General features: G+C 35.7%; 2 annotated features.

Moving 5' to 3' along the window:
• Positions 3,451–3,651: a silencer, noted in NCBI's record as "peak527 fragment used in MPRA reporter construct". NCBI's record gives its function as "represses an SCP1 promoter by STARR-seq MPRAs in K562 erythroleukemia cells {active_cell/tissue: K562}" and the evidence as "EXISTENCE:reporter gene assay evidence [ECO:0000049][PMID:32103011]".
• Positions 4,104–4,398: a silencer, noted in NCBI's record as "tiled region #13721; HepG2 Repressive non-DNase unmatched - State 24:Quies". NCBI's record gives its function as "represses a minimal TATA promoter and a strong SV40 promoter by Sharpr-MPRA in HepG2 cells {active_cell/tissue: HepG2}" and the evidence as "EXISTENCE:reporter gene assay evidence [ECO:0000049][PMID:27701403]".

Genomic DNA, 22,388 nt, shown 5'->3' on the forward strand with positions numbered 1-22,388 from the left:
ATATTCTTAAGACTCATAGAACATAGGATCATAAAAGTATTTCCTGGAATGTTTTAATGATGTATTATTATAAAATTATTTATTTTTTATTATTGATTGAGCTACACATATTATATGAAGTTATGAAAAAAAGCAAAGTAGACATATAGCCAACGAACAGTAGCAGTAGTAGTAGTAGCAGTAGTAGTAGATGTTTCTTATAACCAGTTCTCCAAGGGTGGGGAAAAATACAGAAGGGTAGCATTTCTTAAATTCCTTGACATAAATGCTCCCACTATGATCAAGCTCAGATGGCCAGCACTACAGCACTGAACAGGGCATAGGAAAGAGATGAGAACAATTGGTCCAGGGGAGCTGGTATGAGTTGGCACCAGCATACACTTCTGTTCACTTCAACAACAGTGGTTTCATGCCCAGTACCCTCTTAGTCCTTAGAGTCCTCTCTGCAGAAGTGACAACTCTGGACCCTGTTAGCTGTTCAATTCAGCATTTAGGCATCATTAAATAATTTTTATTAATAAGAATTGACAAGTATTCTTTATTTATCTATTTTAGACATTAAACGTTGTCTTCTTATTTTGGTACAGAAGGATTTAATTCTCTAACGCTGCCATCCCTTTTTTATTTCCTTCTGCCTTCTTTTTAGTGTTGCTGAGTGACAGTTTTTATTTGAATCAATACTAAGTTTTAATTTACTGTGTTATGAATATGAAATCACACTGAATATTGTGTACTATTATTACTTATTTTTCACTTTCTTCTAAAGTTAATGATTACCTTTTTTAAAATAAATGTATATAGTTTTGTACCTATTGCTAATTTTTTCCACAACTTCCAATAGCCTCTCAGCATAACTTCTCAAATATTATGATCTGTAATCTGACAGTTTCAAAGTATTTTTGGAGCCATTTCTCCTGGAGTCTTCTTCTTCTATTTGGACTGTCTATTCTCTAGTCTTAGTGAACAACTCTCTTTCTGGGACTCTCCTTGCTGTAATTGTAAAAACTCTTTTTGTTTTTCTCTTAGTTGGTGTATATATTTCTGCCATTTGATAGATCTTATGTATATGTCTTTATTATATCTCTTTCTTTCTCACTCCGTCATTGGACCACATTCACTTATGGCTTCATCCAAAGAATAAAGCAGAGAAAGAGCAGAGACATGGTGTTGATGACCTTAATATATTTACCTTGAGTCAAACCGCTTAACACCAAGCTCTCTTTGCCAAGTTCCCACTTGTCATTCTTCAATTGCCTTGACATCACCCTTGAGGAGGATACTTTAATTTCTTCCCAGGTTCTATGCTCCTGTTTTCTGATTATCCAGTATTTTTCTCAATATTGGTTTACTCCATCTTTTTGTGGAGCATATCTTCTAACAGTTTTTTGACAAAGGGAGATAAATATTTTGAAATTATATATATATATATGAAAATGTCTTTATTCTACTCTCTGATTTATTTGATGGCTTAGGCATAGAGCTCTATACTAAAAATCATTTTCTATCAATATTTTGGATGTACTTTTCAATTGTCTTCTCTCACTCACCTTTGGTTTCAAAAAGTTTGAAACCATTTTGATTCCTTTCTTTTTGTTTTTGACCTTGTACCTCCGGGTGTTTGTAACATACCCCATGCTACACCATTGCTCTGAATTATCAAAATGATGTGCCTTAATATGAACTGCCTTTCTTTCTTTATGCTGGGACCTCCATGGATTCTCGTAATGTAGCAGATTACATCCTCAAGATGAGGGAAATTTCCCCAAGTTATTTCTTTGAGAATTTTCTTTTCTTCTTTTCTGCCTTTTCACTTTACATTCTAGGAGACTTTCTCAAATTTTATCATGTAGCTCTTCAATTTTCAATTTCTATTCTCATTTTTTTAATTGCAAGAGCTCATCTTTTTTTCTTTTCTCCGAATGATTCTCTATTATATCAATTTTTTCTTTCTTGGATAAAGTATCTTTATATATCTGAGGTAAGTAATAACACATTAAAATTTTTTTTCTCCCTGCATCATGTCTGTTTCCTCTAAGATTCTTTATCTCTTCATTTACCTTGGTTTCTGTATCACATGTTAAAAAATGTTGGTCAGAAATCCAGTGATCCTTAAGTATCAACTCCTGTTAAACAATGAGGAACTAAAAAGCTGATTGGCAACTTTGAGTCTGTAGGTTGTTCTTATATCTAAAGACATCACTGGGGGCCATTTGTCGACATGGGTGGGCCATTTGTTGAAGAAAAGTTAAGGTAAGTATGGTTAAATATTTCTTCTTGAACTTGTTAGATTCTCACAGAAAATATTCTGTTCTCTTGCCTGCAGGTTGTGAAAGAAAAATAAATCTTGGGGCTCCAAAATCACTACGCTAAAGGGAATAGTCAAGCTAGGAGCTGCTTACAGCAAACCTGCCTCCCATTCTATTCAAAGTCACCCCTCTGCTCAGAGATAAATGCGTATCTGATTGCCTCCTTTGGAGAGGCCAATCAGAAACTCAAAAGAATGCAACTATTCATCTCTTATCTACCTATGACTTGGAAGCCCACTCCCTGCTTCAAGTTGTCCCACCTTTGCTTCAAGTTGTCCAGCCTTTTCTGGACAGAACCAGTGTTTATCTTACATATATTGACTGATGTCTCATGTCTCTCTAAAACATATAAAACCAAGCTGTGCTCTTGAAGTGGCCTCATCGTCTGGGGTGACACCCGAGGTTCGTTGTCTCACGGCCATAAAGATAAAGAACATGGACACAAAAGGGTGAGGTTTAGAGCAGAAATTTAATAGGTGAAAGAAAGTGAACAGCTCTCTGCTACAGAGAGGGGTCCCAGAAAAATGGGTTGCCGATTCACAGTTTGGATACAGAGGCTTTTATAAGAAATCAATAGTGGGCTGCTCATCTCATTTGCAAAAGGCATGCATTTCTGGTAGTTCCACCCCATCATCCTCATGCACGGGCTCTTAGTTTGAGTTATTCCATGTTGTTTTGTTACCCTTACTGCACATGTGTCAAGGGGTGGAATTTTCCCTTGCAGGCATGCCTGGGCAAGTCTCTTATGTAGTCTTTCTTATCTGTGTGGCTGTGGGGATGTCTTAGGCAAGCCCCCTGGGAAAGTTCCCTTATCTGTGCCTGCAACTTGATTTTTCAGGCTGTTCTTTTGTTTGAAAGAATTTAACCAAGGACTCGTCTTAAGAATCTGCCTAATCCGTTTCTTCCTTTCTCCTGTCTCACCCTAACCATCTTGGGCACAAGTCATCAGAACCTCCTGGGGCTATGTCATGGGCACACATCCTCAACCTTGGCAAAATAAACTTTCTAAATTAACTGAAACCTGTCTTTGAGTTTCAGGGTCACAAGGGTAATGGCCAGCCAATGTTTTTTGAGCCCTATAAGGGAATAGGCAAGTCAGAGAGGAGGTGGAAGAGGTCTCAGCATTCAGCATCCAGTCTGCATGTTTATTTTTCTGTTTGGGGATGGTATTCCCACCCTCAGTCACTAAGGGTTTTCATAGCCCACAAAACCTCTGTTTTTGCGTCTCCAGAGAATGAAGTGCAAATGTCTGCTGAGATAAAATCATGTGGTCAGTTAGTCAAGGTGTTGGAAAGAATTCTAGGCATCTAGTTTCTTAAATAACTTCTGACTGACTCTCTGTAGTTTAATTCTTCCTTCCAGTTATTCTGTGATGTTTGATGTCCCCCGTTCCTGAACCACCTGGAAATTCTGTGTATGGATTGTGTTGTCTCTTGGCTTTTGTCATTGCTGATTTAGGATTTGGCTTTTTGCTTTTGTTTTGCTTTGTTTTGTTCTTTCCTGATAGGTCAGTTCAAACTTGTATATCTGCTTTTCAGAATCTAAACGTTTGATGCTGTTGCCTCCTCTCTGTTCCCTCCATTCTTGCGGGTTTATGTCTAGTTAAAAACAATCCATTTATAGTAGTTTCAGCGGGGTTTGTAGAGGGAAGAGATTAGATGCATTTTTACTCTGCCACCTGTATTCTGAAGTCCTCTCTCTGAACTTTTTGAAATCTGCTTTTCTAAAGCACAGAGCACATTCTGGTGAGACCCAGGTCTCCCACCTGATGATCACAGTCTCTAAGAGTGCATGTTCATCACATCCCAGAGTTCTTGTCTTTTCTACCGCACTGAATCTGTTCTCTGTGTTTACTTGTATTGTAGCTATGGTAACAGTTCCCTTCATTACTTACTCAAACTTCAGAGAGATAAAAGAGAAGGAGTCACAGCATCTTTGTGCAAAATATGCCTCGTTTTCTGGGAAAAGGCTTGTTTCAGAAGAGAAGACAGTGGTGAGTCACAGAAGATATGAGGGAATGGAACACAGTAATTTCTACTGATTACAGAGAGGTTAAGAACCTCCCACAACCAACAACAACTTTGCTGGTGTTAATGCTGGCTAGTAGTTTTCTTTGGGACTTAATCTCAAAAGATGCTTCTCACTGTAGAGAACTGAGCAGTATGTATGCAAAGAGTTATAAAGATATATGGATCTGCTTCTATCCAAATTATACTTGAGGTGAAAAGGAAATCCTTTACTAATTCTGCAGACTTTAGGAAATGTACAGAGCATTATTTTCTGGTGCCTTAGGAGAGAAAAAATAATTCCTAAACATTAAGAAAATCTGAATATCATTTCCCCTCACCCAACACTTCTGTAACCTATCTCCTTGTCACTTGGGTGAACCAGGGGTGCCCAGTGAAACTTTGCCCAGCCTTGGACTGGGAGCACATGCTGGTCAACTCTCAAGAGCATCTTAATCGGACCTTAATTATATGTGGACTCTAAAATGACAAACTTCTCAAAACAAAAGGGAAAATGCTGGTAGCCGGGCCTGAGATGTGGGAGAAATAGGAACATATTGGTCAAATGGTTCAAACTTTCAGTTACAAGTTCTGGGCATCTAATGTACAGCATTAGTTGCAGGCACAGATAAGGAAACTTTCCCAGGGGGCTTGCCTAAGACATCCCCACAGCCACACAGATAGGAAAGACTACAGTTAATACAGTATCATATACTTGAAAATTGCTAGCAGAGTAGAACTTAAGTGTTCCTGACACACAAACACAATGGTAACTATGTGAGTTTACAGATGTGTTAACTAACTTCATGTTGGTACTCATTTCACAATTTATGTGTATATGTATATCAAATTATCACATTGTGAACCTTGAATATGTACAATTTTTATTTGTCACTTAATTATACCCCAATAAAACTGGAAAAAAAATTGTCCTTAACTTGTCTATTCTCCCTAATGAAAATAAACTATATTATACCATAGATAGGTTGCTTTTTATATACCAATTATTTTCTGTGTAGGGAATAAGAGAGTGAAACTGTAATTTCCATTTTGTGGTCATGTCTATGTTAGCTGCAATCTGATAGAACAGTGATATTGTTTGAATATTTGTCCCTTCCAAATCTCATGTTGAAATTTGACCCCCAGTGTTGGAGGTGAGACCTAGTGAAAGATGCTTGGGTTATGGGGGTGAATCTCTCATTAATGGCTTAGCACCTTCTCTGAGTCAATGAGTGAGTTCTTGCTCTATTAATTCTTGTGAGAGATGGTTGTTTTAAAAAGCCTGGCACATCCTTTCTCTCCTGCTCTCTGTCTCTCTTTCCATGCGACAAGCTAGCTTCCCCTCCCCTTCCACCATGACTGAAAGCTTCCTGAAGCCCTCACCAGAAGCAGATGCTGGCACCATGCTTCTTGTACAGCCTGCAGAACCATAAGCTAAATAAGGATCTTTTCTTTATAAATTACCCTGTCTCAGGTATTTCCTTCGTAGCAATGCCACACAGACAAATACAAATAGTAATTTTAGTTTTTAGTCATTAATTTCCTCAGCCTATTCATCTGGATCTAGTCAAAGTCCATTGTTCCTTTGCATGCTCCAAAAGCATGCGAGAACTCAGAATGTTATCATAACCCTCTTATTTCTCTCCACACAGATTGTGAGCAACCTCCTCCCCTCTCTCAGTTTCTGTCACCACTAAGGTAGATTCACATCTCTCATGCTCCCTCACCGTGACCCACTCTCTTGTCTAATGCCCCTTCATGTTCAGCACTAGTATTTGAGTTCTTGCCTTAGAACTTTATAAGCACATTTTATACCCCACAAAGAAGAAACCATGCTCACAAATACAGTAAAGTATTGGCTTTGAAATCAAGCTTTAAATTCTGCCAAGAAAGGAAGTGTGACCAAGTATGACTGGTATATGTCCTTGAACAGGTCGCTTCCTATTCCTAAAACTCTGTTTCAAAACACACAGCTCTTCCTCTAGCGAACACAGGCAGATAATTAATATTAGCTAAAATTAACATTTAGAAATGCTAATATAAATTGATAAATAATTATAATATTTTAAAAGTAAATAAATAGGATCCACATTCTTTCAACAGACTAAAAAGTAAAGGTAATTTTTATTTTGTCTCCATAGGTTAAACTGGCAGGCAATACATTTCATTCTCTGTAACCAATGTGTAGAACTCTTTGGTTTGTGAAATATGAGTATGTTTTTGAAAGTTGCATGTGTCAAATAACACATTCATTACTGCTAATGGAGTTCAAGCTAAGTATCTTTTTATTGGTTAGGCTTGAAGCCTTTTCATTAAAAGATTTACTGTCTCATCGATTGCAGAATGAATAGCTATGCATTGTTTCCAAATAACTAATAATGATAAACATCTTAGATAAAAATTTAGCCAACCCAATGTGCCCAATCATAAGAAAAGACGTTAGCATTTAACTTTAAAATGACCTTTTATTCTATCACTAGCAGTTCATCACAGTTAAAATTTAATTCATTTCTTACCTGGCCATGGTGAAAATATAAGATAATGGCCTATAAGATGGCAAGTCACAGTAGAGAAGTAGGGAGGAAAAAAGCCAGAGGAACATGGGGGCAACCTAAAACATTGAACGGAATCTTTTCTTAGGTTGTTTTTAGGAGTTTAGTAATTGAGAGTGTTGCCTAATATTGAGAAAGGAAACTGTACAGATTAAATGCTTACTGTATCCCAGTCATAAGGACAAAACGCAGAATAAGACAGACATTATCCTTGAGAACTCACTATTAGTAAAATGAATGACTGTGATTCAGAATGATAGGTGCAAGAACTCATTGTACCTGAGTTTCAGGTATATTGTAGAACAAAAAGGGAGCTTTCCATGAAGTATTTGTGTGGGCTTTCATAAGGATTCTGAAGGAACAGCATTTAATAAGGCAATTGAATAAACTAATTTAGTGGAAAGATGTTAAAATGGAAGAGGGAGGAAAACAAGTTTGAAGAATTATCATTGTGAACTGCTTTGAAACTGTTAAGCAACCAGCACTGCAGAAAAGAATTCAAGAATGATGATTACATGCACTTTTTTTGGTTTCCCTTTGACAATTTCTTGCTAGCAATGATGTCAAACAAAAATATAATTTCTATCTGGACTCATTGTTTTACATATGGCTGCTTGATACTGCCAAGCAGAGCTAATGACTGAATATCACTGAGAAAGCCACGCTGATTGTGAAAGCATTCATCCCGAAAGCTTTGCTCTTAAAGCACTGCACTTTCTGCAAACGTGCAGTTCCTTTGTGTCTCAAATACTTACTTCATCTTTTCTCTGTTTCTTCTTACATCTCTAACCCTATTTTTTTCTTCATTCTGTCTTTTTCTTTGCTACATTTATTACCTATTTACCACCTGCTTCTTGCCTCCATATTTGACATATTATCCTCTATGTGTCCTGCTCAGGAGAAGCCTAGTAAGATAATTACACAAGATGGGCAATGAACAGGAGGCCATATACTGTGTCCCTCTGCTATGTCCAACCACATCCCCCAACTATGCTGTCCTAGCTCTCTAGTGTCCCTTAACTTGGGCTAAGGACAAAAAGAGAACAATCAATACCACTCAAATTGTTGAAGGTGGGAAGAATACAGGTAGAACTTTGCCTACCACCTAGATAAATATACAATTACCCCAGTGTCTATCTCCTTTATTCAACTTTTCTCTCTCTTTGTACACTTTTATTTTCCTCCCTTTTAGAGTCATTGTAAAATCTGCCTTTAAAGAAAATCAAAAGTAAGATCATAGCCTTCTCACATATTGCTCCACTTTTGCAGGTCCCCTGACATTAAAGAAAGTGTCAGCACCAATCTTCTTTTCTGGAATCATTGATTTTTTAATCCCATATTCTTTCACCCACAGCTACTAATTGCAGCTGTCTGTCACTCTGGGTTGGACAGGGGAACAAAGGCTATCATTTCAGTGAGTGAATATGATGACATGCAAGGCTGCAAAGAGGCACCATGATTGAATTCTGCATTCAGCCAATTTTTCCAGTGATCACATTTTAGATTTACCTAACCAGCTACATGCCAACCAGTTTAGTTCAATGAAGACACACAAAGCATGCATAACCTTGTTGTAGGCCTCTTCCTTTTCCCCTGTTTGTTTTAATCTCTGGGAGTTCTCTGTGTATCACCTTTATTGTCAGCACTTTAACTCTCCTTTTCTTTCAGCTTATGTTTCGCACAGGAGATATGAAATAAAAATCAGAATTATTACATAAACAAAGCTTCACTGAAGTTCTGTTGTACATATTTTTCATTTACTGAAAGCAGGGGGTGCTATATGCAAAGAAATCAGCTAGAGTAAGCAGGTAGAATTTCTAAAGACAGGCACCTGAAGACATTTATAGTGTCCCATTATAGAAGTGCTTTAAAATGTATCATTTCTTCCAGGTTCTGCCAAATGTACAATGATGCATGTCCTTACTGAGATATACAGACAGCAAATGTCACACACATATTCTTCTCATCGAAGAAGCAATGTGTTGTAACTAATAATGATTTCTCCAAATCACAGATTAATTGGTGTGCAATTAATTTAGCATATCTCAAACACAGCGGAGTATCCTCCACCTGAATTCATCTACAGTAATAAAACATTTTGTAGAGAATATTATTGCTCGGATGTCCAGATATTACCTTTCTCAATAAAGACTCTAATCCTCCCTTAAATAGATAAATAAGAAGTTAGAGAAAATTGACCAGAAAAAAATTTTTAAAAACATATCTCTTTACTTTTCCTTCCAAATAACTGACATCTTTTGAATTTTTTTCTTCAAATGGTTACATTTTTTTAATATCTCACTATACAATTTGAAACAGATAAAAGGAAAAAAAGTGCAATAAACACATAATTTGCAAGCACAAAAGGTAAAATGTAGTACAGGGTATTACATAATTTCAAAAGCTTCCTAAAAGAGCATAACTACGAACTTTGAAAGGTCAATTGATATTGAAGTGTTTTGACATGCCATATGGATAAAAAGCCTCAAGGACAGACAATTTGACTTGTTCAAAAAAAGGTATTATTTCTTTAAAACATTCACTTTCAATACTTTCCCATATTACAGTTATCTGTACAAGATAGATATGTAAGACACTTTAAAAAGCTTCTTTGCAGCAAGCAAAGTCCAACATCCAAAATGAATTATCCAAGATGAAGCATTCATTTTTAAGTGCTATAGTCTTGCCAGACATTCTGAAGATGCCAAAGTAAATTTGGATGTTTGGAGGGAATAGAAGAAGAAAAGTCAGAGCAATGAGAATACATTTCCGGGTCTAGTTCATAGATTCTACAATCTAAATGCAATGCAATATTTTTTCCAAAGTTCAAAATGTCAATAAATTTGATAATTAAGGTCACCTATTAATAATGATCTAACCAATAATATTGAGTTCATGATAAATAGGAATATGTGCTTATTGGTGCACTTTGTATTTATTAAGTTTCTCTGTCTGGTGGACTACTTTAATACCTAGTGATAAATTCATTCAGTTGCTTACTTACCGAGGGACTGCACTACAGCATAGAGCCACCAGCCTACTGACTCAACACTCCTGGAAAGTTAAAGCAAAACAAAACAAAATACCAGAGTAATAAAACAAGAGCAAAGAAAAAAATGATGTTTATTTGTGGTGACTTTTGGCCAGCGTGCAAGAAAAAGATGCTGTGTTTGCTACTGATTTTAATTCCTGAAGTCTTAAGAACAATAATTCCCATCGAGACAAATCAAGAGGTATATAACATGTTATATCTTCAAAATATTTACCTATATGCCATAAAATACATTTATTCCTGGATAAATGATAACTGAATGTGTCTACTTTATGAAACATCATGCTCGCTCCTTTGAGTGTAGTAAAGAGAAATGGAGAGATAAAGAAGACGCATTTCATGTCCTCAAGGGTTGTTATAGTCTGACAGAAGAAACCAAATCATACAAATGTGCAACCAAATAATACAACTGCATGACAGAGGAAGAGAAAAGCCAATTGTTGAATGTGACCTGATTAGAACAATTGTGGCATAGTGGGGAAAACACACACACACACACACACACACACACACACACACACACACACACACTGAAATCATAATTCTCTGGGTTTGATACAGGAGGTAGAAATAAATTATTTAGGCAGAGAGTGAGGGCAACAGAGTTCTTGGCAGAATTTCCCTTCTAACAAAAAGCATCCCCCCAAATAATTTCTTTTCTAACAAAGAGCAGCCTGAAAATTGAGCTGCAAACATAGATAAGCAAGCTGGAAGCTTGTATAGGGGAATGTCGGCAGTTGTACCAATAGAAAAGGGCTACCTTGGGGCCAGGCATGTCCAACGTGGAGGCTCTATCGTCTCTTTTTTTGTTACCATGTATACAGTAATAAAGGAATGGGCAACATGGCCCAGCTCAAACAGAAAACCCACCTGCATAATAAAAGATTAGGTTGGGGGCTACCAGAGATTTGCACCCTATGCAAATGGCACAACTGGTCTAACCAGTCTTTTGTGTGCTATATAAATCAGACACTGCCTCCCCACCAGCTCATCTATAAAAGCCCCTGCATTTCATCACAGATCCAGCAACCTATTTTTCCAGGACCTCTCTCTGCAGCAGAGAGCTATTCTCTTTCTTTAGCTTATTAAACTTCTGCTCTCAACCTCACTCTTTGTGTGTATATGTCCTTGTTCTCTGTGGTCATGGGACTACAAACCTTGGGTGTCATTCCAGACAATGAGGCCGTTTCAGGTTCAAATATCGGCTCAACATCTTAGTCCTGCAATCTTTGTGCTTTTTCTTAATCTCTCCGAGTCTATCTCATCAATAAAATAAAAATACAGCTACCTTTCATTGTGTCATTAAGAAGATTAATAAGAAATGTACGTAAATTCACTTATACAGATTGAGCATTCCTTATCTGAAAATCTGAAATGCTCCAGAATCAAAAAGTATAATATTGACGTGATATCACAAGTATCAAGTAACATTGACATGATACCATGAGTGGAAAAATCTACACCTGGACTCATGTGACAGGTTGCAGTTAAAACACAGTCAAAACTTTCTTTCATGCACAAAATTGTTTAAAATATTGTATAAGATTACCTTCAGACTATTTATATAAGGACTATATGAAATATAAATAAATTTTGTGTTTAGTCTTGGGTCCATTCAGAAAGGAAAAACATTCCCACATATAACTAATACTTATTGACCACCTACTGCTCTAGGTACTGGAGATATAATAATGGACAAATAGACCTTCAGTCACAGACCTTACCTTCTAATGGGGCAGGAGGGAAAGTCAAGAATCAAAGCAGCAAGTGTGCTAGATAGTAATAAATAATGAAGAATGAAAGAAGTAAGAAAGGGGAAACAAATGTTTCGTGGAGATGTAAATTCTTATATAGTCTGGAGAGGAGAGGATGCAGTGATAATTAATACTAGAATAAAAATGAAAAGAATTTGAGGGAGAGAGTTGTGCAGATACTTGGAAGAAGAGAATTCCAAGCACAGAGAATAACAAATGCAAAGCCCCAAGACAGAAGCAGCTGTTTGAGTAGAAGCATAGTTATCAGTGTTGATAGATGAAGCAAGTAAAAGAGACACAAATAGGAGATAAGGTTAGAGAGGTAGCAGGACAAGATGTAAAACATTAGAGACCATCTTACTCTGGGAAAAACAGGAATGGGGCATTGTTGAGTTTATCAGTCACCTACTGTCATAATAATTCAGTGTAATAAATCATCCCTAAAACTGATTGCTTAAAGCAACAATTGTTGGTTCTTACTCATGCATCTTTGTGTGGCTGGTTGTCAGCGGAATTAAGCTGGGCCCAGATGAGCTTCTTTCAAGATAAAGATTGGGTCCCGATTTATTCTATGTATCTCTTCTACTTCCTGGACCCATGGGCTACTCTGACTATGTTCTTTTCACAGCAATGCTAGATGTAGATAGCAGCAAGTGCAAATTTACAAAGGTAGTTAAAGCTTCTAACTAGTGTTGCATCCACTAACATCTCATTGGCTAATGCAAGTCACATGGCCTGGTTCAAAGTCAAGGACCAGGAACACACAGTGTACTTCTAGTGGGAAAGGTATGAAGTTATACATCAAAGAGTATGGATACTGAGACTGACTTGACTATTGTAGACTGTAATTCAATCTATCACAGATATTCGAGCAGAGGAATTACATGACCAACTTTCATTTTATCAGGATAATTCTGGCAGCTATTGAAAACAGACTGAAGAGAAGAAAGAAGATTTGGAGGAATATGTATCCAAGATTGATGATGGTGGCTCAGATCAGGTTGGTAGCAGTGCAGATGGTGTTTGGGGCTCAGGAACTGATATCCCAAAATATGACATTTTGACATCCTGAGCTGAGGAAGCCTCATGGACCCTCTGCCCTTCCCCACCTCCCACCATCTCTCCCAAAGCCTAGGACGAAGTTGTTCTCTGAAGTTCCTTTTTCTGCCTGAAGTCTGGACCACCAAGGAGAACAATTCTTTTTATTTCCCTCAATCTTATCTTCTGATCCATTGCAGAAAAGACCAAGAACATAACCATACCTGAAAAGACCCTTTTACAAGATAATGTCTGTCTCTCAGACTCATTCAAATTCCAGAGAGAACTATTTACCAGTTAAGCTATGTTCTCCATTCATTCATTCTCCCTAGTAATCATTTATTGCTCATTAACAGAATTTCTCTTCTCCCCACCTCCCACAACCTGTTTTGTCAGGATACAAGCCCCCATTCTTTCTCCAAACTCAGGATGGCATATAAACTTGTATACCTCATTGGGGAGTTGTGTCTTCATTCTGGAGTTTTCCATGTATACATGTTACATATATTTGTAGACTTTTCTCCAGTTAATCGGCCTTTTACAAGTTAATACTTAAGTGAAACTTTGGGGTCCCAAGGGCCTTGGTTCCTAAAATGGCAAGGAATATTTACATTCAGATTATATTTTGAAATTACAGCATACCGGTTATCAAAGAAAAAATTTCGCCAAATAAATTAAACAGACAAGGAAGACTTTATTCAAAACTGTTGCAATAGGGAAAAAAGATTGAACTTAATTCCACTGAAACAAAAGGTGAAATAATTTTTAAGCCCTGGAATTAGCTAGTGGAAAAGTGCTGGAGGGTGTTATGGGGAGAGGTTGGTCAATGTGGCTAGATCATCTGTATTTGCTAATTCAGCTCCTGCCCTCCACTACAGTCTGGGGAACAGGGGCACTATCTCCTTTGATGGTTACATTTCAAAAGGATGGCTCCCAATTCCCTGAGAAAGATATTCCTGGGTTGTAAAATTAGCAATTGTCTGGGAGAAGATTTATTAACATTTCAAAGGGGCAGAGAAAAAATTAGCAATTACAAGTTTTATAAAGTGAATATTCTAAGAAAAAGAAGACCGGGGGCTATAATCAAGCAAAAACCTCCTTGAGGTTTAGTCAAGCTGAAGGCAATGTTTTGTTCATCTTGGCCACCGTCACAGTGAGAGCATGGACTTGTCCTAAAACTGCCCAGATTGAATTCTGGCACCTCTATTTGATAACTTGTGACCTTGGAGCAGTTACTTAACATCTTTGTATCTTAATTTTCTCATCTGTAAAATGGGGATGATGAAGTGCCCAATCCATAGGATTATGCAGGAATTAAAATAGTTAGTATGAACGTACAGGTTTCCTAACAATTGCTGGCACACAATAAACATTAATTATTCTTAAAGCGAAGTCAACAGATTCTCCTGAGTAGTCAGAGATCAGGTATAAGAGAAAAAGAAAAATTAAGGATAACTTCAAGGTTTTTGCTCTGAGCTACTGAAAAAATTGAGCTGCCATTTACTGAGTCAGGGAATGTTATAGACACAGGGTTTTATTATATTAGGAAATGGTAAATTCAATGAGGATTCAAGTTTATAAGAGTTCAGAAAAAGGATTAAATTAGGTAGTGTAATTTCTCTTTATTCCTTACTAAACTATATATTATATATTGTATTTTTAAAGTTCTTAATAGAGTGTTAGGAGACTTTAATATTTATTTTTTCCTTTAACGTGTTCCAAACTAACCATCAGTAATTATAGGCAGAGGGATTAGATAATAAATCAGTCAAGGATATTATTTATTGTAAGCCTTAATTACGAGGAACAAAATGCTATGAGAAACTATTAGAAAAACGTTTGATTGTTAACCCTAACATGAATTTATTTGTGCCATTAAGGAATCACTCTTACTTCAGAAAGCAAACCATTTTCTTTGAATGAAGAAAGGTAGGATGTTCTACCTACAAAAGCTGTGCCTTGTTTACTACCATGTCCCCAGCATTCAGAGCAATCCCTGCAACACAGAGAATACTCAATAAATATTTATGGAATGAATGAAGCCACAGGATGACACTTTATGTTTAGAGTAGTTGTGTACAAATGAATATGCCTTTGTAATACAGTGAATTATTTGATGTGCAATTTTGTTAACCTGTAATTTGCCAGCTGATAGATCAATATATTAAAATCCTCAACTTGAGGTTTGCATTAGCATTTTTAGGTAAAGGACATGGTCAGCAGGGTAAATTTCATCCAAACTTTTAATAGAATTACAACACAGTAATTGTACATTAATGAATGCATTAAGAACAATTACAAAATAACAATGGGGTATTACTTCATTTAGATCAAATAGTTTACATAATATAAATGTAGCATGGTTTTCTTTTGGCTAAGGATTAAAGAATATGCTTTTGAATAAGACTTTCTTTCCCTAGTAGTAAGCTAATGTTATCAGATTTATCTTTTTTATTTGTTTGTTTTTCTCCCTCCTCTCTCTTTCTTCCTTTTTTTCTTCCTTCACTTTCTTTTTGTCAAGATAGAGGTTCGAGACCAGCCCAGCCAATATGGCAAAACTCCATCTTTACTAAAAATACAAAAATTAGCTGGGCATGGTGGTGCATGTGTGTAGTCCCAGCTGCTTGGGAGGCTGAGGCAGGAGAATCTATTGAAACCAGGAGGTGGAGGTTGCAGTGTACTGAGATCGCGCCACTGCACTGCAGTCTGGGTGACAGGGTGAGACTCTTTCTCAAAAAAAAAAAAAAAAAAAGAGAGAGAGAGAGAAATGTTTTGATCTTTGAAATGGGAACCAAAGATACAAGGTTGGAATAGACAAAGGTTTTTAAAGATTCATAAAGTCAGAATTTTATTGTAAATAATAATATGCTTATTTTCTTATCACCTGGATTCATAAATTCTTGGAAGAAACAATGTTAAAATATTTCCTTGAAAAATAAAAAGCATGTCCATGAGTATGTTACACGTGTTATTATCTGAAGAATTATTACATAGTTGCATCATGATGGAATTATTTAATCATTTGGGACTTTGTTAGACCAACAGTTATTCTGCACTTCTTTATTTTTTGAGACCGAATCTCGCCCCGTCACCCAGGCTGAAATGTAATGGCACAATCTCAGCTCACTGCAACCTCTGCCTTCCAGGTTCAAGCAATTCTCCTGCCTCAGCCTCCTGAGTAGCTAGGATTACAGGCATGTGCCACCATGCCCGGCTAATTTTTTGTATCTTTAGTAGCGATAGGGTTTCACCATGTTGGCAAGGCTGATCTCAAACTCCTGACCTTGTGATCCATCTGCCTTGGCCTCCCAAAGTGCTGGGATTACAGATGTGAGCCACCACACCCAGCCTATTCTGCACTTTTTTTAAGACAAGAAATCATATGGAGGAGAAAAACAAGAACAAACACAAACAAAATAGAAGTCCTGCTGAGATCTGAATATTTGTGTCCATGCCCACTCCCCAAATGTACATATTGAACTTCCCTTTCCCAAGGCGATAATATTAGGAGGTGGAGCCTTTGGAAGGTGAATTGGGTGGGGGCAGAGCCCTCTTAAATAGTATTAATGTTCTTAGAAAAGAAGCCAGAGAAAGATAGACTTCTCATCCCTTTTACCATGTGAGGTTTCAATTAGAAGGCTATCTATGAGGAAGAGAGTGCTCACCAGACACCCAATGTGCCAGCCTCTAGATTGTATACTTCTTCACCTCTAGAACAGTGAGAAATAAATTTCTGTTGCTTATAAGTTACCCAGTCTTTGGTATTTTGTTATAGCAACCTACACAGAAAAACACACACACACACACACTACAAACAATTACAAGTCTGTTAGCATTTTGCTTGCTTAATAGATATTATAACAGTTTAATTAAAACACTATATGTACTTCATTTCCTGATTGGGAGAAGAGAGATATTTTTAAATAAACAAAAATCAGATTTAATATTTTTTCTTTAATATTGGTATAATTTACTTTGTGTTTGCTTCTTGTATTAGTCTGTTCTCACGCTGCTGTGAAGAAATACCCGAGACTAGGTAATTTATGAAGAAAAGGGGTTTAATTGACTCACAGTTCCTCATGGCTGGTGGGGTGGCCTCAGGAAACTTACAATCTGCTGGAAGGCACTTTTTCACAGGGCAGCAGGAGAGAGAATGAGTGCTAGCAGGGGAAATGCCCAACGCTTATAAAATCACCAGATCTCATAAGAAGTCACACATATGAATATGGAGTGACTTTCTATCATGAGAACAGCATGAAGGAAACCATATCCATGATTCAATTACTTCCCACCAGGTCTCTCCCATGACACATGGGTATTATGGATTACAATTCAAGATGAGATTTGGGTGGGGACACAGCCAAACCATATCACTTCTCAACAAATTCTGCACAAATTGAAGTTTTGTGCTCTAAATTTTATTTTTCATGAGTATACTAGAGCTATTTTGTATTCATTTCTGATTTTTCTTCAGAAGTAATGTATATTCAGTGTTAAGTCCTGCAGTCCTTCAGCCTCTTTATTAAGTGGTTAATGATTTGTAAACAAACATTTAAATTTAAAAGTGAATTAAGGAAACCTAAAAGCCTTGTGAAAAATTATTTTCTAGTTTGTTCCAATGTTTTGAAAATTTAATCTAGGTAGGGGCCTAGGATTGATATTTTATTCTACAAGCATTTGCATAACATCTTCCAAGACAAAAACTGTCTTAAAATTTCAGAAATATTGTATTCAATTGGGTTCTGTGGGCCTGATTAGCAAGGTCTATTCCAAGTCAAAACCTTTGATTTGTGGTCAGGGAGAGCTATGATACAATTTTATTCATATCATATACTTTAAATACACTTTAAAGTATAAATTTCAGTTGAAGTCTGATATTGATTACCTAAGAAAAAAATTAGAATCAATTATGTATTTTTGTTTCTTATGTGATATTAAAATATTATATAATTTTCCTTATATTCAAGTTTGATAATAAAATATTAATAATATTTATGATGTGCAAGAAAAGAATTTCTTTTTAATTCATTTAGGCTTATGAAAAAGATATATTAGAAGAAACATAAGAAATTTACATAATTATTTTTATTCTGTCTCCTACTATGGTCCATTGATTACTTCTTTGTCTACACAAAAACTGTGTGCTTTATGAGGGTGAAGATTATGCTTATCCATCATTCCAAATTAGCAGTTTTGTTATTTATTTTAATTCTCTAGTTAATCTTCTTGACATCTCATTGCAACCCAGGCATGGGTTAAAATATTTAGGAATTCAATTTCTATTATTTTTATAGTTGCAATCAGATTGATTGATATTAATATTCACCATTCCTTCTTTCTCTATTATTTGTTGCATATTCTCTGATATGCAAACAGTTACAGGATTTACATTAGGCTTTACTGTATTCTCAAACAATTTGGTGAGTTGTTTGGGAATTCTCATGGGTCAAAAAGGTTGTTCCAATAGTATCACTCAGCACTTAAACACTCATGAGTTGATGAGCTATTATTGTAGTAAATACTCCATTCCCATTACTGTTCTAATTAATTTCCATGATGATGTTTAGGTGGCAGTTGGGTGGTATAGGGTTGGGAAATCCATACTCTTTATTTTATTATCTTTGTCTTTTTCAGTTATATTTAGTTGCTTTAAAAAGTTACAGATTTTCTAAGCCTTTTAAAATCAAGTTTGTAAAATGGGAAATGATCCGTCTGTGGAAAAACTGTATCTAAATGTTTAACTGATTAATACATCATTAAGACACTTTTCAGAGTAAAATATTGCACTGTTAATACTGTAGATATGCATTAGAAAACAAAGCAAAATGAAGATGTCTTGCCACGCAAATTTAGTTGTTTACGTCTAGTGTAGTGTGTTAAGACACAAGTAATGTATTGACTTCCACAAGTCTTCAGGCACCAGGGCCAAGTTTTAGCCAGTATCTTTATGTTTTCATTAAAACATGTTTCTCTTACAGAAAAGTGCTTTTTTTAAGAGGACAATAAAACAGAAATTTAGTGACTAGATTGGTTAAAGGCCCAGGGGATCATACATCTCAGTAGCATTCATGTATTTCAGTAGCATTGATTCTGAAGAAAGAAGTTATTTACATTCAAAATGTAGAAATTTTTGTTTTAATTAATTAGTTTTTCTTTTTAATTCAACACATTCCTCCTTTAATTTATTCAGTGAGGGAATGGGATTATATTAATTAGCATACCTTATATGAAATTTGCAAATGATATAATATAAGCTTCTCTCAATATTATTTGATTAATATGCAAGCAATCTGAAAATGGATGCATGGTCATACCTAGCTTCTCAGAATAGGAAAATCTATTAACTGAACAACCAACCAACCAATCAATGAACCAAAAGTATTTTTAAAACTTTTAAAAGTATTTTTTAAAATTACTGATTCTAACTTGATTTATGGGGATCAATTGAAATAAAGGCAATATGAGTTTAGGTAGAGTATGTACAATAGATTATTTCAACTTTAAATCACTCATATTCCTTTTGTGGCTGAAATCTTTTGACTACTATCTTGGATGACTGTATCTAGACACAGTGCTTTTAACAAAGCTATCAATCTAACTGGAATATAAACATGAACATTACTGATTTTCAGAGTATGCACAATAGAACTTTTGTGTCAATGGCAATTTTAACCATAACGTGTTGACGTGACACGTTATCACCATATATTAAAATGGTGCAAAAGTCATGGCAAAAACCGCAGTCACTTTTGCACCAAACTAATATTTATATTTCTTCATGTGTAACTAATATTTTACATAAGGAAAGTATAAATAAAATAGTGTCAGATGTGGCAAGTGTGAAAAAATACATCCCAAAAATTTTTAAATCAATTGATGACTAGTTTTCAGTAAATGGATGGGTTACTTTTAGTCTCATTAGACATAAGAAATGAACAAAAGCAATTCTTTTCTTAAAAAATCACATTTTAGAGAGGTAGAAATTAAAGACATGATACTGAAGAGAAAGTTTAAGTCAAATTATGTTTCTAAAAGACTGTAAGAAAATGAAAGTCATAATTTAAGAACATCAAGGTGAAGAAAATTCTTTCTACGAAGGAGTATGTTAGCAACAGCAATGTGACTCTGACCATACATGCTAGAAATCATGAGGACACAGTGTTGGCAGCATAAATACAATGTGTTATGAAGCTCTGCATACTATACGTGTGTGTGTGTGTGTGTGTGTGTGTGTGTGTGTGTGTATAGGGAAGGGTAATTGTGCCTACCATTCAAAAGAGTAAAAACTCATTTTTTTTCATTTCAAAATCAAAGTAAAATATATAGAGATTGTTCTATACGTCACTGGTTAAAAACTAGCTGAAACTAATAACCCACTACAAAAATTTTTACTGAAAAGTGTTTCTACTTTTATATCTCAGTACTGACAAATATAACTGATCAGTTAACTACTGAAAAGTACATATACACACATGAGCATACAACATGTTTATAGGTGGTATTAGTTCAGTGTTTTAACATGTTAAAGGCTCCTTTTCTATTATTGGATCATTCTCTATATTTTCATATCTATTTTTCTTTATGAATGAAATTTTTTTGTGGAGTTTTTCAAGTCTGTAATAAAATTCTTGTTAAATAGAGTTCATAAGGCTTGGATAAAAGGAATTATAGCTATCTATATATACCAATCCAGATATGTATGTATGTTTCATAAAATATGTTTTGAAGGCAGACATAGAACTGGGAATTATCTTTAAAACCAAACTGAAAAGGATACATAGAGGAGTGTAGTGACTATCAAACTCACTTTAATGCCCCCTTTTTTTTTTTTGCGACCGTGTCTCACTCTATTGCCCAGGTTGGAGTATAGTGTCACGATCTCATGTCACTGCAACTTCCCCGTCCTAGGTTCAAGGGATTCTCATGCCTCAGCCTCCCAAGTAGCTAGAATTACAGGCGTGTACCACCAAGCCTGGCTAATTCTTGTATTTTTAGTATAAACAGGGTTTCACCATGTTGGCCAGGCTGGCCTTGAACTCCTGACCTCAAGTGATTAGCCCTCCTTGGCCTCCCAAAGTGCTGGGATTATAGGCGTGAGCCACTGCGCTAAGTTTAGTGCCCATTCTTACAAGGAAGTTCTGTTTTGGGAGATTCACTCTTAGAAGTAGCCAATAATTTCTGTGATATAATTTAGTACACAGATAGATATGATCATAGTTAGGTGTAATATTTTCTAACTTCAGGTTTAGTTTTCCACTGTTGATTTTTGATGGTTTATTCAAGGTTAATTTGGCCATGGAGAACAATATAATATTATTTATTCTGAGGATCAATCCATTTTACATAAAATAGCAGATGTTTAGGTATGTGGTTTAGATGATAGCCATCAGAAAATTAAGGCTAATTTCTATGAAAATAAATAAAGTACTAGGAGTCCCTGGACTCTATTCCTAAGAAATCTTACCCCAAACCTCCAGACCTTTCCTTATAGGTTTGAATTATTTACTTTGCAATAATAAGATGAAGAGTTGTAAGAATTCTAACTGCCTAACTTTAGGGGATAAAATGAATTAAATAATATGAAGTGTCAACAACTCTATCTCCAAAGATACGTACTTAAGATTAGCCATTGCAGGAGACAATACTGAAGATAAGATTCATTCATTTCCATTTATTCCACTTGAAATGCCATCTGCTTTTCTTCATTTGCTTTTCAGAACGAGCATTCCTTCCACATCAGTGTACTGTCTGACCACAGTTTAAAAAGCCAAAGTGAAAACTACACTGTATTTCTGTTGAAAATGTTTTTATTGATTAGGTAGTCTGGGAATAGTGTTGACTTATAGAAAGTGTCTGCATTGTCAAGCCCAAGTTTTAATTACACAGTAACCACTTTGAAGACTAGAATAGTTTTTAATTTTCCCCAATTTCTGAAAGTTAAATTGTCCCTCCCAAGCAACATAATGTGTAGTGAGTTTAAATTTTTCCTACAAGATTTTGCTTACGTTATTTATTAACTATTAAAATTATAAACAATATCATCATCAATCTGGACCTTTTAATACAGATTAATCCTGAATGTCATAGTAACTAGGAATTTATTAGGTTTGAAGGTCATTTTAGAGTGGATTAAGATTATATATGTGATTCTAACTCAGATAGAGGAGGTTCCTGCGGGGCCATGAATGGAATAAGTTAAATCTTTGCTTTCTACTCAGAGTCTATGTAAACACAGAAAAAATATAAGAACTAACCCCAGGCAATGACTTGGTACTGTTTTAAGAAAGCATTCTTCCTTATTTTCTAGAACTCAGAAGTGATTCTCTACTGAAATGATACAGTGTGCCCCAAAGACATTGCATTAGAACAATGGTAATGGCAGGACTCTATGCCCATGATTTCAGGATACTTCTTCTAGGAATTAACTATATGTAAGTGTCTTTTTTATTGAAAATATTGGACTAGCTACATCGAGATGCCTTTCTGGGTTTTTTTGCCATTAGCCAATTATGTTAGTTTTATGCTTTTGCTTTATTTCATAAGAGAATTTCACATTAAAGTCGATAGAAAAAATAGTAATTGTCATTGAATTTGATCCCCTATTTAGTAATTTCCAATTTGCTTTCCCATAGAAAATCTGGCTTATTAGTTTTTCAGATATAAACTGATTATCCGTAATT

The sequence above is a fragment of the Homo sapiens genome, chromosome 1 (genome assembly GCF_000001405.40).
Source record: "Homo sapiens chromosome 1, GRCh38.p14 Primary Assembly".
In the NCBI taxonomy this organism is placed as follows: domain Eukaryota; kingdom Metazoa; phylum Chordata; class Mammalia; order Primates; family Hominidae; genus Homo; species Homo sapiens.